Consider the following 18,053-nt stretch of genomic DNA (forward strand, 5'->3'; position numbering starts at 1 on the left):
TTCATACCTTTAAGTCCAAACGACCTGTGATGTCAAAACTCCTACTCCCTCAATCTAAAGAGGGTCTATTCCCTACATTTACCTTCATCTGAACATTACAGAGCCCCAAGTTTTCAAAAAGTTAGCTGGTCTGGTTGCAATTATTGAGTTATAAAGTACCAAATTTTGGCCAGGTGCGGTGGTTCACGCCTGTAATCCCAGCACTTTGGGAGGCCGAGGTGGGCGGATCACCTGAGGTCAGGAGTTCCACACCAGCCTGGCCAACATGGTGAAACCCTGTCTCTACTAAAAATAAAAAATTAGCCAGGTGTGGTTGCAGGCACCTGTAGTTACAGCTACTCAGGAGGCTGAGGTTACTGTGAGCCGAGATTGCACCACTGTACTCCAGCGTGGGAGACAGAGTGAGATTCCGTGCCCTCCCCCCCAAAATCTTATTCTTTTCACTATGAATTTTAAGGAAATAAATTAAAACTCCATATATCAATGCTTAATTCTCTTCTTCCCATCCTCATGCCTCACCCCACAACTTGATTTTGAAATCTGGCTCCTTCATTTTGCTTTGTCAATTCATGTTTTAGAGTATTTTAATCTTCACACAAATTATAGTTATTTCATAAAAAAGGCAAGAAAAAATTTTTACTTTATTTGCAAATATAAAATGTATTCCACAAACATCTGACTTGTTCCATTGTTTTAGAAACAAATAAGACACAGCCTAAGTGACACTGGTTTTTTTAAATCCACTATGATGAAGGCTGTTAGGAGGAAAAAGACTTCTATCTTAATTTTATGCATAGAAAACCAAATAGCCATTTTTTTCCCCACAAATGACCGATTTTACTGAGCACATATACAGGTAACTTAACCATGCATTTAAAGAGATTAATTTAAAAATACATGTTATGTTTTGATCTAGGCCTCTGACTAAACTACTGATTAGTCCTTCCTTATCCTTGAAAATAATTTGATAGTTTCTATTTATTTACTTATATATTTTTTGAGAAACGGTCTTGCTTTGTTACCTAGGCTGGAGTGCAATAGCAGGAACATGGCTCACTGCAGTCTTGACCTCTGGGGCTTAAGAAATCCTTTCACTTCAGCCTCTGGAGTGGCTGGGACTACAGGCTTACGCCACTGCACCTAGCTAATTTTTGTATTTTTTGTAGAGACAGGGTCTCACCATGTTGCACAGGCTGGTCTTGAACTCTTAAGCTAAGCAATCCATCCTTCTTGGCCCCTGCCAAAGTGCTGGGATTTACAGGCATAAGCCATTACACCTGGCCACCAGTTTCTATTTAACTGGCAAAAAAAAAAAAAATTCAATTTGATTGGTTGTCAAAAAAGACAGAGATACACAAAAATACCTGTATGTCATCATCATTTTGATGGCATATAACTTCACCCTACAATCTTTTTCAATATGTTTTGTTTTGTTTTTAATTTCAGAGAAGGCTACTTGGACCTAAAGGAATGAATTAGGAAGCGGTCTACTACCAAAGTACAATGAAGGTCAGTTTTCTTCATACCTTAATATGAAAAACGTTTTAAAATGTCTCAATTTCCCTATGCTAACCTCTGGTCACAGAGGCTTGAGGGCTTCCTATAGTACCAAAGTATGACTTGCCAGTTAAAAAGAAAACGAATTCTTGCCCCCAGGGGTAAAGATAACAAATTTAGAACACTATGACATACATCTATTAATATTTGCAGAAGGAGTATATGTTGTTACATTAACATACAGAAATTGCATAGTTGATCCAGAGGGAAGTCTGGAGAGTACAGGGATGGAAAAAAGGAGGAGGATGGAAAAGAATGGGAACTAAAACTTAGGTGACTACGTTAAGGATTACCCATGAGAGCAAGACACAGGATAAAGTACTGAAAACAAAAAAAAAAACTTAATGTAACCACTTATTTGAATAAATTGATTCATATGAATCCAATTTGATAGATAAAAAAAGATCAAATTTGATAATACCCAGGAAAATATAGTACCTATATCTGAGTTATCTCAATTTATCTCAACTACCTCATTGGCAAAAAGATTCTCTCTCCTATCACTAAAAACTAATTTCTTTTTTTTTTTAAAAGGGCTCAAGGGCAGTGACTGCCCCACTCCACCACAGAGTGGGAGAGGGCTGGACCCCAGTGCCACTTTCGGCCACCCCTGGGCCACACGGCCACCCCTATCCCTGGGACAGGGACTGCAGGGTCACACCCTCAAACAACCACGCCTCAGCCATACTCGCGCCACACTTTCCAAGCCTGTCCCAGACCAGGGACAAGCCCCTAGTAGGGTTGGGGGAGGAGACTAGAACTAGAGAGGTGGGACACCAAGCATGGGCACCCCTGCAACCTCGGCCACCCCCAGCATGGCACCATGCCCCTGAGCACCGCCAGCTTGGAAAGGCATCGGATGGAGACGGGCGCTTTTCGACGAGATACCCGCCACTTGCTCTGGGATCCCGGAGAGGGTGGGCAAGCGTGGACCAGGGAAGGAGGCCCCCAGGGGTGTTGGGAGGGAGTTTGAGAGGGAGGAAGTAAGAGAGACGGATGGCAACGGAGACGCCAGGCATGCGCGAGGGGGTGGACAAACCCTGTGTCCAGGGCTGACTTTGAATAGATGGCAGGGAGGGAGCTGCTCTGCTATGTATGAAACCACGACCTAAAAACTAATTTCTGTAAGATACACCATAAAGGTAAAAATAATGCAAGTGTTCAGCTGACAGTAAGTATAAATGGTACTCATTTTCATTCTTAGCTGGTTCTGACCTTTAGCGATCCATAGAAAGTACATTCATGAAAATAACCAGTTTTAAGCACACAAACAATAAAAGCATATACACTTGATATAAAATGGCCGTAAGTCAAGTATTTTCAAAATGTTTGATTTCAGAACCTTTGATGGTTCATTAAGATAGCATAAAAACAACCTTCAGAAGAAAGGAATAAGCTGATATACCCAGCATCATATCTGATGACACCTTACAACTCAAACAGGGCTTAGACATTTTTATCTTTTTTAAAAATGCACTCTTATAGCCTGGTGTGGTGGCTTATGCCTGTAATCCCAATACTTTGGGAGGTCAAGGCAGGAAAACTGCTTCAGGCCAGCCTGGGCAACACAGCAAGACCCCACCTCTACAAAAATTCTTTTAAAAATTAGCCAGGCTTGGTGGCACATGCCTTTCCTAGCTACTGGAGACGATGACGGTGGAGGATGGCTTGAACCCAGGAGCTCTATGTTACAATGAGCTATGACTGCCCTGCCACTGAACTCTAGCCTGGGCCACAGAGTGAGATACGGTTTCTAGAACAAACACAAAAAAGCACTGTGAAATTTATGAAAATTTATGTTTTAATTTTGAATGTTGTATTTTAGTGACGGGCTTCTTTCATAAAGTAGAACTACCATGTTAAGTACCAACGAAGCTGATAAAATGATGAGAGATGTCGATAAATATTTTTTAACTTAAAAGCCACTAAATCAAACGTTTGCTTTTTAAAATTTCAAGGGTGATGGAATTAAAGTGATCAGAATGTATAATATGGACATTTGCCCAGGCAAAAAATGTTATTAAAGCAAAACATGAACCAGCCATACATGGAAAAGAAAGGGCAGAAAAAGACAAGACAGCATACTGTATTTTTCCTCTTAAAATTCAATGTTACAATTAAATGATTGTTATCTGAGAATAAGTTAGCTTCAGCTTTCTAATCGATGTGTTCCCACATCTACAAATTGATATGAAAAATTATTTTGAAATGCACACTGCAAAATGGTGAGAATATGAAAGTTACCTGGGAATTAAATCAGAACTGTCTCCATATGACTATTTCCAAGTCACAATCATAACTTTCTTAATAGCAATGGTTATATATGTGGCCAGATAGTATTCAGTTTCACAGTAATGTCTTGGTCACATAAAGATAGCAAAGCATAGACATAGTACAACAATTTATTATTTCTGCTGATTGCCAAATGTGCATAAAACTATAAAGATATATTTTCCAGCCCAGGTGACAGAGACCCTGTCTCCAAAAAAAAAAAAAAAAAAAAATTTTGCATGAGTATAATGAATTTAAGATGTCCAAACATCAACAAAAATGCTAACCTAAAATTTGAAGCATTTTAATAAAAGTTTTTGGGGCCTAGAATAAGAAATAACAGAATAATAATATTAAGAATAAGTATCAGTTGTCAAGATGTATTTCCTGATACAACAGCAAAATTTGTGGTAAATTCTGGCTTTTGCTATAGATACAGGTATAGACACAGATTGCCAGTGTTACATGGATTCTCAGCATAAAACTAAAACTTCAAGAACTCTCTAAGTCCGTGTTTATTAATAGCAATGACAACCAATTATCCAATATCTAATGCTGTCAGGTAGCAAGCTACACATTTGTAGATAATCAAACAATTTACAGATAAGGAAACAGTTCAGTGAAGTAATAAGATCATGCAGCCTGTAGTAGGTGAGTGTACTGGGAAAGGAAGTCTGACACTTAAAACTCATGCTTGCTCCTAATTTCATTTCATTTCTTTTCTTTGGAGACAGGGTCTTGCCCTGTTGCCCAAGCTGGAGTGCAGTGGCGTGATCACAACTCACTACAACCTCTGCCTCCCAGGTTCAAGAGATCCGCTTGCTTCAGCCTCCCAAAGTGCTGGGATTACAGGAGCATGCCAGCACGCCAAGCTAATTTTTGTATTTTTAGTAGACACGGGGTTTCACGATGTTGCCCAGGCTGATTCTGAGCTCCTAGACTCAAGGGATCCACCCACCTCTGCCTCCTAAAGTGCTAGGATTAGTCATGAGCCACTGTGCCAGGCCAATCTCTTTTTATGTACAACAAGGAAGAAAAAAATGTAAGAATCAAGTACTTTTTCTAATCTTGATTCCATCCAAGTTAGATTAGAAATGAGATCTTATAACCCAGTATACAACAGACTCTTTACTGACTGTCCTATTTTCAACTTAGAGGTAGAACAGCAATATTTAGGGGTTCAGGCCTGGCTCTGTCCCCCATTACACTGCGACTCAGTCAGTCATTTCCCTGAGACTGTTTCCTTAAATATAAAAGAAACAAAATAGAGAAAGTAGTGGCCTAAGACTCACAGAAAAAAAGACTCCAAATTAAAAATAAAATAAAATTATGTGGTCCAATCCGCCCCCTTTCCAGTCTCATCTCTCAATGTACTAGGTCACACAAGCCCAGTGAAATTGGTTTACTTAAAACATTGTCTCTGTTACTGTTTTATGCCTTTACACATAAAACCATGCTGACTGCAAATATGTTGTACTCTACTGCCCCACCCTTTCCCTAATGAAACCCAGAACTATCTGCCTCCTAATCCAAAAATTCTATTTCCTCTGTGAAACACATTACCCCATGAACTGGGATATCTGGCTGAATGCTTACAGTACTTGGTTACTTACTGATGTGGCTTAATCCCAAACTAGATTATAAATGAATAGAGTAGGGACTAGTCCTTCTAGCTTGCAACAAAATAGATACATGTTTTTGAAAAGTGTGGGAAAACCCTCTGAAGTCTTACAAGATGATGGTATAGAATCAACCAGACCATTTGCATCAAATTTTATATTCAAGGGACTTTCTATTGTAATAAACACATACTATGGGCAACATTTTCAGGCATCTGGCATCAAAGCAGATTATCTATTCATTTGTGCAACAAAACTGCATGCCTATTACATGCCAGGAACTGTGCACTTCAGCCATAAAGATGAAAAACATTGTGTCTATCAAGATCTCATATACTAATGGAAAAGAGGAACATGAACATGACAGCATGATAGGAACACATGTTAACAAATAGAAGGGAATGTCTTATTTTCTGGACCAAAAAAAATTGGGATTACAAATCAATAATTGCTCCTGAAAGGTTTTATATCTAATTTAATTCTTAACGCCATTATATAGTTAATATTTTACCTGCTGTATGGATTATAAAACTGAGTCCCAGAAAGCAAACTACCTAAGTCTTCCTTGAAGTGGAAGTGGTATTCAAACTTGGATTATTCTAGTTCCAAGCAGCGTTCATGATGTTCCTAACACTTTGGGAGGTTAAAGCAGGGGTCAGATGAAGGACCTGGCACGTCACAGTGTGTTTTGACTCGACCCTCAAATCTCTGGTCAATGAACAGTTTTTTAAGTTAAAAAGATTTTTCTGGAAACATATTTTTGGAAAAGTGTTTGATTTTATGAAGCTAGAAAATAGTTTTAGCCATTATCTAAAGAAAGGTTTTTTTTGTTTTGTTTTGAGACAAAGTCTTGCTCTGTTGCCCCAGCTGGAGTGCAGTGGCGTGATCTGGGTTCACTGCAACCTCCACCTCCCAGGTTCAAGCAATTCTCTCACCTCAGCCTCCCAAATAGCTGGGATTACAGGCACGTGCCATCATGCCTGGCTAATTTTTGTATTTTTAGTAGTGATGGGGTTTCGCCATGCTGGCCACGCTGGTCTCGAACTCCTGACCTCAAGTGATCTGCCCGCCTCAGCCTCTCAAAGTGCTGGGATTACAGGTGTGAGCCACCGTGCCCGGCCAAGGTCAGTTTTAAATTTGTTTAGTTTGAGGTACTTCATAGGACAAGTAATGTATTTAGTAGTTTCAGTTGAGTTCAGAGATTACAAATTCTAGAGTCATCGACAGGTAAAGGTATGGGAATTGATTATTGCAGTTAGTAAAATGGATAACGTAACATTGGTGGGGACACAACACTGGGAAATCCAACATTTAAGAAGCTGAAGAAATCAACTAGTTAAGAGTATTAGCATAAAAGCAAAGGAGTTTTAAGAGGATATATATATATTTTTTCTTGAGCCGGAGTTTCCTTCTGTCGCCCAGACGGAAGTGCAGTGGCGCGTCTCGGCTCACTGCAACCTCTGTCTCCCGGGTTCAAGCAATTCTCCTGCCTCAGCCTCTTGAGTAGCTGGGATTATAGGCGTGCGCCACCACACCCAGCTAATTTTTCTATTTTTAGTAGAGACGGGATTTCACCATGTTAGTCAGGCTGGTCTCAAACTCCTGACCTTGTGATCTGCCCGCCTTGGTCTCCAAAAGTGCTGGGATTACAGGTGTGAGCCACTGCGCCTGGCCAAGAGGATGTATTCTTAGGAATCAAATGCTATGGGTTATATAAGACCACCTGGAGCTCATAAAAATACAGAACTTTTGGCCGGGCGCGGTGGTTCACGCCTGTAATCCCAGCACTTTGGGAGGCCGAGGCGGGCAGATCACAAGGTCAGGAGATCGAGACCATCCTGGCTAACACGGTGAAACCCCATCTCTACTAAAAATACAAAAAATTAGCCGGGCATGGTGGCAGGCGCCTGTAGTCCGAGCTACTCGGGAGGCTGAAGCAGCAGAATGGTGTGAACCCAGGAGGCAGAGTGTGCAGTGAGCTGAGATTGCACCACTGCACTCCAGCCTGGGTGACAGAGACTCCGTCTCAAAAAAAACAAGAAAATACAGAACTTTCACAAAATATTATAAATGCAAATAACTGCATATGTTTCTTATTCCTCAGAAAAATAAAACTTACCTACATGGGCAGAGTTTGTGGAGAAAGGGAACTAGTTAACTTTTAGATACTTTCAGATGAACCCTTGACTCGATGTCATTTGTAAAACCTTTTTCAGTCATTTAACTTCTAAAAGAATGCTTCAATCAAAGCTATCTAACGTGTCCTCTTACCCTTTTGACTTCCATTTGCCCTTTCACTGGCCATAAAGTAGGAGCATGGAATAGAACAAAGAGAGTCGCTACAGAATGTCTGTTGTATAGATGTGGTCAGATAAGCTGTGCTTGGGACATGGGAGAGATGCCTAGACTACCACAATATTGTTATCAAATGAACCAGAGAATAGTGAATATTTTTGTTGCCTTTTCAAGTTTTTCATAGAATGAGGAAAATTAATTGAACATTACTTATTTAAGTAAGTGTTCTTCAGGAATGAAGTATCGCCTTAGCACAGCCTTCCTTCATGAAAAATTTAAATACTAGAGATAAGACTAAACTTGAGGAACAGGTTCTCTCTTAACCTAACAACATTAAAGCTTGTCAGAAATCCAATAGGGGCCAGGCACTGGGCATAATGTACAGGCAATTATGTGTGATGAAGAGGTGCACAGGCTTTACAGTACAGTATATTCACTTTTTTTTTTTTTTTTTTTTTTTTTGAGACAGAGCCTCCCTCTGTTGCCCAGGCTGGAGTACAGCAGTGTAATCTTGGGCTCACTGCAACCTCCACCTCCCAGGTTCAAGCAATTATCATGCCTCAGCCTCCTGAGCAGCTGGGATTACAGGCACGTGCCACCATACCCAGCCTGGATTCACTTTTCTATGTAAAAAGGAAGTTTACAAATTTCTGAGAGTTTAGTTGCCAAATTCTGACCTAGCATATAAGAATTCAAGTGTTTAATAAATCAGTAGCAATTTTCCCAAATCCAGAGTTTGATACGGAGCTAAACCATGTCATGAGCTCACCCATCATTCGAGTTACTTTGCCCCTTATCAATGAAGTCATTGGAAGTAGTAGCAACCTGGTTTGAGAGGGTTATGTGGTACATCGTTTCACAAATTTCAGAAATAATTTATACTACTCTACTTTCTAAGGAAGGTGGAAACCTAAAGTGGGTGAATAGCTGAACACTTGGAACGCTCGGATTTATTTTCCTATAGGTGGGGGTCTTGCTATGTTGCCCAGGCTGATCTTGATCTCTTGGCCTCAAGTGGTGATCCTCCCACCTAAGCCTCCTAAGTAAATGGGACTACAGGCGTGTGCCAGACACCTGGCTAATATTTTAAAAAAATTATTTGTAGAGACAGGGGTTTCATCATGTTGCCCAGCTTGGTCTCAAGTGATCCTCCTGCCTCGGACTCCTAAAAGTGCTGGGATTACAGGCTACTTGCAATTCCTTTTTTTTTTTTTTTTTTGAGACAGGGTCTCACTCTGTCCCCCAGGTTGGAATGCAGTGGTGCGATCTCAGCTCACTGCAACCTCCACCTCCCCAATTCAAGCAATTCTCATGCCTCAGCCTCCTGAGTAGCTGGATTACAGATGTGCACCACTACGCCCAGCTAATTATTTTGTATTTTTAGTAGAGACAGAGTTTTGCCACGTTGGCCAGGCTGGTCTTGAACTCCTGGCCTCATGTGATCCACCAACCCTGGCCTCCCAAAGTGCTGGGATTATAGGCATAAGCCACCATGCCTATAATCAGCCAGCAATTACTTTCAAATGCTATCTATCATTTGTGGGCATTACATAATAATCTAACAATAAAAGGTATTGCTTAGGATAGTTATGAATAATTTAAAAATTATTATAAAGCTAATCAGACTTAGGTTAAATATGTTATGCACTGGCGTATAATCTATCTTAAAAAACAAATGCAATCAGTTCCTTTTCCTTGGCCTAAAATGTAGACCGACCCAAGATCTCAGCTTTCTTGCTAAATTTGTCTCCTATTAAGACTGAATCTACCCTGTTTTGGCTTTTATCTGTGAAGACTATCAAATGTCAATTATTTTTCTTGAAAGTCAATTCCTTCTTCTTCCTTATACCCACCCAGGCAACAATTACGGATGTTTCTGTAATAACTTAGATTCCTTCTTTATCACTCCTGCTCTGATTCAGGCTCTTCTTGCTACATTGAGGGCTCTAAAAGCCAGTCTCTTCTGGGTTGAAGACAGGTATGTTTTAAAGTAAGTCTTTCTCTGTCCTGTGCCACACCTCATGCCTGTAATCTCAGCACTTTGGGAGGCCAAGATGGGCGGATCACCTGAGGTGGGGAGTTCGAGACCAGCCTGGCCAACATGGCGAAACCCCGAAATACAAAAATTAGCCAGGCGCGGTGACAAGCGTCTGTAATCCCAGCTACTGGGGAGGGTGATGCAGGAGAATCACTTGAACCCAGGAGGTGGAGGCTGCCGTGAGCCGAGATCGTGCCACTGCACTCCAGCCTGGGCAACTGTGCAAGACTCTGTCTCAATTAAAAAAAAAAAAAAAAAAAAAAAGGCCAAGTCATCCTTCAGACAGTGTAAGTAGGGCAAAGATTATGAACTCTGGTGAGGTCAGGGAGACAGATGTTAAAGTTAATGCTCTGCCACCTTGGGTAAGATTATATATAAAGTATATACAACAGCATCCAACAGTTCGGTGTATTACGAGAGCATTCTCTTTTGTGGGGAGGGAAGTCACACTAGCAGTTAAGGATTTCTCGTCTGGCCTTAAGTCAAGACTTTCCAATAATTCCCCTGTTCTCTCATTAATGTCACTAATGACCTGATGTGGCATTACCTTGCTAATTAAAAAAACAAAAATCCCAAACTCTTGTTATTCCTAAATCCTTACTTCCAACTGTTATTCTTACATCAAACTATACATAAAGAAATGGAAGTAGCATTAAAACTGAGCTAAGTTTAGGATGGGCACGGTGGCTCACGCCTATAATCCCAGCACTTTGGGAGGCTGAGGCAGGCAGATCACCTGAGGTCAGGAGTTCAAGACCAGCCCGGCCAACATGGTGAAACCCTGTCTCTACTAAAAATACAAAAATTAGCTGGGCGTGGTGGTGTGCGCCTGTAGTTCCAGCTACTCACGGACTGAAGCAGGAGAATCGCTTGAACCCAGGAGCCGGAGGCTGCAGTGAGCTGAGAACGTACCACTGCACTCCAGCCTGAGTGACAGAGCAAAGCTCCTTCTCAAAACCAAAAAACAAAACTGAGCTAAGCTTAAACTGGTAGAATGAAGTCTGGGAGAAAATAAATTAGTAAGTAAACATTTACTTGCTAAACAACTGTAAGGGAAAAACCAGGATATAGTTTTAAATTTGAGACAAATATTAATCGATATACTTTGAGAGGGGCACTTAAGAAATACTCTTTTCAGGATAAGAAATATTAAGGCGATATATTCTCTAAGAATAAGTTTCTACATAATCTAATCTAGTTTAGGCTTAAGTTGTATGAAGTACCGTTTGTATTAGGTTGATAACCAATTTAGTTTATTAGGAATGGTACTATATACAAGATATTTGCTGACTGAAAGCACGTTTGATACCTCAAAAGACAACGCTGACAACGCCGCTTTTGCAGTGTGCTTACAAAGGAACAAAAAACAAAACAAACCCCAAAGGCCATTTCTTTTTCAAATAAGAAATACAAATGCAGGATAAACTTCAGTGCTTGCAGCAAAACTAGGCATTAAAGAAAAATGCTATAAAATATATTTCCTTAAAAATATCCAGCTCAGTTTTTTTCTTCTTCCCACCTTTTTGGGGCAGAACTATCTCTGGGCCATCAGCAGTCTTCTGCCTTGCCTGGAGCCTCCCTAACCTTTCATCTCTTATCCAAATTGTTTATCAAAAGAGCTCCTTTAAAAGAGTTTAAAAGCCAGTATTTACAGTTTATAGACTGCACAGTTAATCTTATCAATCTCTAAAAAACCATGTATACCTGAATGCCCATCAAGTGTCAAGCACTAGGCTGGGTTATCAACATAAAGAATGACACATTTACTTGCGAGTAGGGATTTTGCAGTTTCAAGAGGCAAAGAAAAGGTTCAAATTGTATTATCCAGAAGTGAGAAAGACGCACTCCAGGTAGCAGGACAAAAGCACAAAGGTATGAAATGGCATAGCACTTTTGAGATGGTGTGCATTTTAATTTTAACACACCAGAAGATATGCTATGTGAACCTAGTAAGCTTACCGCAACTGCAATGTTCCAAAGTTAAGAGACAATAATTTCAACAAAAACAAGGAAAAGGAGGTTGGGGTGTAATTTACTCAAATAATCTTTGTGAGGGGATGGGGGAAGAAAATTCTTAAAAAACAAGTACCAAGCTTAGTATTTTTATTGAGCTCAGAAAGCCTGTGGTCCCCAGTAAACTTTTACATTGCCTACCTGTGGCACTGAAGCTGGCAGAGCTAAGATGGAGGTGAAAATTGGAGAGGTATTGGAACATAATAGGCCCAAATGAAATTGCCCAGGCAGAATATATGAATGTATGAAGGCAGTCAAAGAAAAGTAATTCCAAGTATGAACAGTATTTAAAATGCCATAGGAAAGTCAAGAAAAATTGAGAGCTCAAGAAGTTCGTGGATTTGGCAATCAGGAACAATGAAGGTACACGCTGATTAAAGGCACAAAACAAGGAAAGGGTGTTTCCATTCGCTTGGAAAATGGCCTTTTTTCCTTATTAAGGCACGGTGAAAGTAGAAACATTCTGAAAATTACCTTAAAATCTACTGACTTCATATTTAGTTCCCTTTTTAAGCAGGAATAAAAACTGCTATGAAGGAAGGGGAGACATCTTACACGTAACAAAGTAACCCTTGAAGACATTCAAGAGTTCTTAATGCTTACTTTCTATTCAGAGTGGACAAATTACATTCTTTGTACTAAATATTTATAGCTCATCCACATTCAGTTGCTTATAACTGAAAAAAGAAATCCACAAAAACTAGTGAGGATTTAAGGATACACAAATGAATTAAAAACCCAATCTTGTTTTCAAACTACCAAGAGCCTACAACTAAGACTTAAGGAAATAGCACAACCTTGACCTCAGGTTCTTTTCAGGTCCAGCAATCATTTTCTCGTAGCACCAAGTATAAGCGCTCTGCCAAGAAGTAGGCCAGATTTTGGCTGCAAATGTGTTTGTTGAATAACTCCCCACCCTCTACACCACCCAAAAGGAGAAGCCCTTTAAAAATTATTTGCTAGTTTTGACTACTTTAACTAGTTTGGCTAAGTGGGAAAAACGAAAAACAAACTTAGTCTACCTTAATGAATATGCCAAAATAGCCCCTAAAACTGCTGGATATTTTCTCCTATCGAGATTTCAAAAGCTAAAAGTATAGTTTGTACTACTATAAAAGTGCTTCAAATTTCATGATGATGCAGGAACCTTAAGGAATAATATTCACCGGAAGTGCTTATAATTGCATCTTTTATTTTTAAAAACTACAAAAGGGCAACAGAAAGAAAGCAGACTTGAAAGTACTGAAAAGTCTTACAACTTAATACAGTTTAAAACACGGCTTTTATTCCGTATTACTAATGCCCAGTGCAAAAAAAAAAAAAAAAAAAAAAAGCAGGCCCGGCGCGGTGGCTCATGCCTATAATCCCAGCACTTTGGGAAGCTGAGACGGGCGGATCTCGAGAGTTCGAGACCAGCCTGGTCAATGGGGTGAAACCCCGTCTCTACTAAAAATAGAAAAAATTAGCAGGGTGTGGTTGTGGGCGCCTGTAATCCCAGCTACCTGGGAGGCTGAGGCAGGAGACTCGCCTGAACCCGGGGAGGCGGAGGTTGCAGTGGGCCGAGATCTCGCCTCTGCACTCCAGCCTGGGCACAAAAGAGCGAATCCCACCGACAAAACTATATTCTTAAGGGATGTACAGACAGAAAACTGAAATAAAGAACAGGAATCACAGGAGGAAGGAAGAGTCTGAAAAGGGCCCTTAAATTCAGATGGCTGCTTATGCCTTTTCAAAGCAATTAAAGTGTTCCTGGGTGTTATTTACACCTTTAAATTTGTTTCCAAACTTTGGAAATACTTTTCTATTTCAATCTGAGAAACTGTTTCCTCAGAAAGTAATCGATCCTCCTTGACGTTGTACCCCCAGAAGCTGGTCTACCCCTCGCTAGGCCTCCCAGAGGCCCTCAAGGACTCCTAGTTGATTCCGAGTCCCACGTCAGGGAACTACCACCTTACATAAGTATACTTTGCGGGGAGAAAGGCAGATAAGAAAATAGGGCGCCAAACCTTCTCCACCAACAGCCGTCACACCCCACGAGGACTGTCCTGCGGGGGCTTTCCCCTGGGAGCCGCAGCTGTTCTGCCGTATGGGGGAGGGGAACGCTTTCCAACAGTCATCTCTTCCTCTTCAGGCCGCCAACGCCGACCGCACCACAGTCTCCTCCGCCCAAGCCCTGTCCCCTCCCCCGCCCCGGCCTGGGTCGGAGCCAAACCCCACAGGAATGCAGCCCGGTCACATGCGCTGCGGCGGTGGACGTGCCTCTCCCCCCGCGCCCCAAAGAGACCCAGCGCCATCTTGCCCTGACGCAGTTACAAAAGTCACGGGAGAAATCCTGTCTCCTCCTCCGCGCCAGCGCCCCAAAGTTTTGCAGAGGCCGAGCCGGGGCCCTCACCTCGCGCAGGGACAGTAGAAAATGGTCAGGGAAGAGCCTTGCGATTCCCTTCGCCACTGCTTGGGTTCCATATCGGCCGCGGCAGCAACGATCACCATCGTCACTTCTCCCTCTCTACCTTTGCAACAGCCTCCCCCTACGGCTTTGGCCCCACCCGCTGCTGCAGGATGAGGTCATCGCCAGCCAACCACGACGCGCCCGACAGGACACATCAGGCGCTGATTGGCTGCCGAGACCGCCTCTGCCTCTCCCCACTCCGCTTCCCCCAGCGCTCTGGGTCGCTGCGGGGCAAGGGGAAGACGGAAACCATTTCGGGGAAAGACCCCCAAAACAAGAGCCGGAATCGCCGTGTCATTTTAGTGGGGAAACCCTTCTTTTATTCTTTGGTCTCCCCCTTTTTTCTTCGAGATCACTGTCTGTCCCTCCCTCGTTTAATCACCGCCATATAAAGGAATTCCCACTCCCCTCCCCGCACATTGTCCCACCGGTGGGGAAATCCTTCCCCGAGGCCAAGAGAAGTATAGGAGGCAGCGACGGCAACTGCACCGACGGCAACGGCAGCTTTTTACCCCGAAGCACGGTGGCAGGGAGGCGGCGTTGACGGTGGCTGCATTTTTCCGGCTGCTTCTCCCCCCGACCTCTTCCGTTTCTTGCTCCTCCATCGAGACAGCACTAGACTCGCCAGCTCCGCTTTTATCCGGTGCCCGGAGCCTGCGCACTGGAGCCTCCTCAGCCCCTAGTGGGCGTCGAGTGACACCCCAACCGGGTTCACCCAGCGCTGGAGGCCAGACTGGGCTGGGGGAGGAGGGGGAGAGGAACGGGGAGACGGGACTGGGGTTGTTTGGGAGGGGGAGAAGGTGTATCGCTTTCGGAGGGTGACGGGAGGGAGTTCGTTCCCAAGCCCTGCTGTCCTTGTTCGTGCACCCAATACTGGCATGCCCAAGCTCACCTATATCCAGACTTGAGGGCCACTGGGGGAAAGGGGGAAAGAACCAGTCCCACCGAATACCGACACTTCCTCAAACCTTCGGTGGATTGTTGAATGCATCTGTTGTCAGAAAGACAGAGATTCCGTCCCCCTCACCGCCTCCAGTTTGCTATCTTCGAGCCTCCGCGGAGAGGCAACGGCGGGCGGCAGCCCACAAGCAAAATGGCGCCGGGCAGCTTCATCCCCTCCCCCTCTGCCCCTGCGGAGCGGGACGGGCGTACCCCGTGCACTTGCCGCCGCCGCCGCCGCCGCCGCGGCCGCCGCCGCCGCCGCCGCCATTTTCCCAGAGCGAGAGGCAGTGACACTGAGCGGGCGCAGGGGGCCGAGTCGGAGACCGTGCCGGAGTTCGGGAGCGGCAACAGAGTGGGCATAGACACTCCGAGCAGCCTCGCCGTCGTCTCTGCGTTCCTGTTGACTGCCTGGCTGCCCCCTCCCCTACTCCTCGGTTCCTGGTGAAGAGGCTGCGCGCTGCTGTTTGGGGAGGGGGTGTGTGGAGCCGGGTCCTGTGTCCGCAGTGGCTGCTGTCGGGGGGTCGCCTGTTCGCGGAGGTGCGGAGAGACTCCTTGGGGGTCGAGCACATAACGGGGTTCGGGTGTCTCGTGTGTGAACATCACAGGTTAGTGCCTGTCGTCTCCATGGGAGTTCCTGGGGCTTGCGGGGTTGGGGTACTTGTGTTTCAAGGGGGAGGGAGGTCTCTCATCTTTATCCTTAAGCTGGGGGAGCCGACGTTGACTCTCAGGTGTCTTTGCCGGCGCAAGACGTTGCTTGCTTAAATCGAATTTATTCTTTCTTCTCCCTGACCCTAGAAATGGAGCATTATGGCGGGTTTTAGGGTTGGGAAAGGGGTAACTGGCAGTTAAACCCCCTTGAGAGTGGGGGAGTTAGGGAGGGGGCGCACTCCTCATTGGCAGCGGGTTAAGGCCGCTTGAGTGAAGACGGAGGCTTGTGACTGTTAGTAGGGTTTGTGTCGAAGTGGTCCCAGGAGCTGCCAGCGCTCCCTTTTCTCAACCGCGTCTTGTTCAGGTGCTGAAAAGCCATATAGGCCCCATTTTCTTCTTCCATTTCTTGACGGGCAGTCTCTGGTATAATGTGCACATGAATACGAAGGGGGTAAGAAGAACGCCCTGGGCATCTCTCTTTGTGGGAGAGCGAGACAGCTAGCTCCTCATCCTCTCCTGGAGAGGGTAAACCCGCCCCTGAAGTGGTCACCCCAGTACCCAGCCTTCTCAGTCTCCTCCCCCACTCCTTTTGCATTACCGCCGTCCTTTACTGTGCCGGAGCCTTAGGATCTACAATATGGCTCATTTCAGAAAAGCTTATTTTGACCAAGGGATTGGCACAAATTCTATGGCAGCAGACACAGATGAGAAACAAACGGTTCACTGTGCTAAACGGGGTGGGGGTGAGAAAAAAACAATCCAGAGTGCTCTCTTCTACTGGCCTTAGTTCCGTATAGATCCGTCCTTGCTGGGCTCTGTCTTAAGAACGATACAATTTAAAGTCAAAGAGGAATCGCTAGAGTTAGCTCTAGAGTAAACCTCGTTTTGCCTATTTTGTTCCCTTTTTAGAGATGTGAATAAGGTAAGGTGTTTGGAGTTCTGGAGACCTTGGAGAGAATTAAGTGAGGTGCATTCAACTCGAGGCTGGAGACATGAATACCTATTTGGAAAATAGTCTGTTTTTTTCCTTCAATTTCTGAGATGGGGAGTAAAAACTGAAATTTCCCTCTTTTGTCCTTTACAGATTCTAAAAATGGCGGCCCCAGGCTGATGTTGTGGTAATCTAATCAGCTCGGGTCCTCCACACCCCATGCAGTGCGTTTGTCTGCAGCATATTACAGGCTTATTATGTTTACATGAAAAGACTGGGCTGTTTTTCCTTCCCCGAGCCAGTTACAAAAATGTGTTGATTTTTTACTGCAAATTACAGTGCTGTGTTTTAGCTGATTAATTTGATTCGTTTTTCCTGAAAGGCAAATAAAATGTCTCCACTTTTGAAAAAAAAAAACAGCCTTGCAAATTTCAGTGGTGATGATGGGTGCGCTTCAACATTAAAAAAAAATTATTTGGGTACCAATAATAGTTTTTGTTTGGTTTAATCCAACCATCTTTTATTCAATATGCCAAAGTAGATTAAAATGTTTAGTAACTGTATAAGTATCATCTATTTTATATGATTAAATGTTTCAATCTAGAGTAAGACATTTCCCAACCACCTCTTGACCCATTTTGTGGATTTTGGTTTTTGTATTGTGTTTTAGCTTAAATTTTAGGGAGCTGTACAAACAAGCTTAAACCTGTTACTTCATTGGGTGTAGAGATGCCATTATATTTTGCCATCCATTTTTCCCATGTATTTAAGCTTTCCTTAAGAATTTTCAAAGTTTATTGTGTATTTGGTAAAGTGAAGCTTCATGCTGCCTTTAACAATCGTCTTACAGCATACTATCATCATTATGTAAGTTAAAAGTAAGGCTCCGATTCTGGATTTTTTTCCTCTTCAAATATGCCCATTTACCTATTATAGGATTGTGGAATTTAGTCTGTTTTAATAGACCTTAAATAAAAACATTACCATAATAGGGTCTTGAATCCATTTTATGCTATTTTCAGAAACTTACAGACTGAGACTGAAAATTAAATGGTGTCAGGTGTCATTTAACTGAATTTTTTAAAGTGTGAAAGATTAGAATTCACTTTCGTAGTGGGAGTTCTTTTTGGGTTGAACTAAGCAGTGAGATGTGAGTGGGCCATTAATGACATTTAATGACCATTCTGATTGTGGAGCAACGGAAAGATGAGTGCTTTTCAATCCAGTAGTACTTTAAAAGGTTGAAGAGTATACACTGTTTCATGATTCTTTTATTCCATTGTAAATATT

The 18,053-nt window shown here is 43.1% G+C and overlaps 1 protein-coding gene and 1 long non-coding RNA gene across 7 annotated transcripts in view, besides 8 other annotated features; one reads left to right on the forward strand and one right to left on the reverse strand.

The window, feature by feature from the left end:
* On the reverse strand, positions 11,796-15,395 carry KMT2E-AS1 (KMT2E antisense RNA 1). Its single transcript, NR_024586.1, has one exon. It is a non-coding gene; the product is annotated as a KMT2E antisense RNA 1 (long non-coding RNA).
* Positions 12,847-13,387: an enhancer, noted in NCBI's record as "H3K27ac hESC enhancer chr7:104652040-104652580 (GRCh37/hg19 assembly coordinates)". NCBI's record gives its function as "activates a minimal SCP1, AML or CMV promoter by ChIP-STARR-seq in primed H9 embryonic stem cells {active_cell/tissue: H9 hESC(primed)}" and the evidence as "EXISTENCE:reporter gene assay evidence [ECO:0000049][PMID:30033119]".
* Positions 14,009-14,378: an enhancer, noted in NCBI's record as "active region_26454". NCBI's record gives its function as "activates an Ori minimal core promoter by ATAC-STARR-seq in GM12878 lymphoblastoid cells {active_cell/tissue: GM12878}" and the evidence as "EXISTENCE:reporter gene assay evidence [ECO:0000049][PMID:35858748]".
* Positions 14,468-15,007: an enhancer, noted in NCBI's record as "NANOG-H3K27ac-H3K4me1 hESC enhancer chr7:104653661-104654200 (GRCh37/hg19 assembly coordinates)". NCBI's record gives its function as "activates a minimal SCP1, AML or CMV promoter by ChIP-STARR-seq in naive H9 embryonic stem cells {active_cell/tissue: H9 hESC(naive)}" and the evidence as "EXISTENCE:reporter gene assay evidence [ECO:0000049][PMID:30033119]".
* Positions 14,799-14,848: an enhancer, noted in NCBI's record as "active region_26455". NCBI's record gives its function as "activates an Ori minimal core promoter by ATAC-STARR-seq in GM12878 lymphoblastoid cells {active_cell/tissue: GM12878}" and the evidence as "EXISTENCE:reporter gene assay evidence [ECO:0000049][PMID:35858748]".
* Positions 14,999-15,048: a silencer, noted in NCBI's record as "silent region_18512". NCBI's record gives its function as "represses an Ori minimal core promoter by ATAC-STARR-seq in GM12878 lymphoblastoid cells {active_cell/tissue: GM12878}" and the evidence as "EXISTENCE:reporter gene assay evidence [ECO:0000049][PMID:35858748]".
* Positions 15,169-15,288: an enhancer, noted in NCBI's record as "active region_26456". NCBI's record gives its function as "activates an Ori minimal core promoter by ATAC-STARR-seq in GM12878 lymphoblastoid cells {active_cell/tissue: GM12878}" and the evidence as "EXISTENCE:reporter gene assay evidence [ECO:0000049][PMID:35858748]".
* Positions 15,399-15,488: a silencer, noted in NCBI's record as "silent region_18513". NCBI's record gives its function as "represses an Ori minimal core promoter by ATAC-STARR-seq in GM12878 lymphoblastoid cells {active_cell/tissue: GM12878}" and the evidence as "EXISTENCE:reporter gene assay evidence [ECO:0000049][PMID:35858748]".
* The window catches only part of KMT2E (lysine methyltransferase 2E (inactive)), a 100,815-nt gene continuing 98,220 nt past the window's right edge, over positions 15,459-18,053 (forward strand). For 5 of the 6 annotated variants that reach the window (XM_011516400.3, NM_182931.3, XM_005250493.2 and 2 more), the window contains exon 1: positions 15,459-15,789. The gene's annotated coding sequence lies outside the window, so the exon portion shown is untranslated. The remainder of the gene's footprint in view (positions 15,790-18,053) is intronic. The other variant, NM_018682.4, reaches the window with a different exon arrangement.
* Positions 15,549-15,778: an enhancer, noted in NCBI's record as "active region_26457". NCBI's record gives its function as "activates an Ori minimal core promoter by ATAC-STARR-seq in GM12878 lymphoblastoid cells {active_cell/tissue: GM12878}" and the evidence as "EXISTENCE:reporter gene assay evidence [ECO:0000049][PMID:35858748]".

Source organism: Homo sapiens, chromosome 7, assembly GCF_000001405.40.
Source record: "Homo sapiens chromosome 7, GRCh38.p14 Primary Assembly".
NCBI lineage: Eukaryota > Metazoa > Chordata > Mammalia > Primates > Hominidae > Homo > Homo sapiens.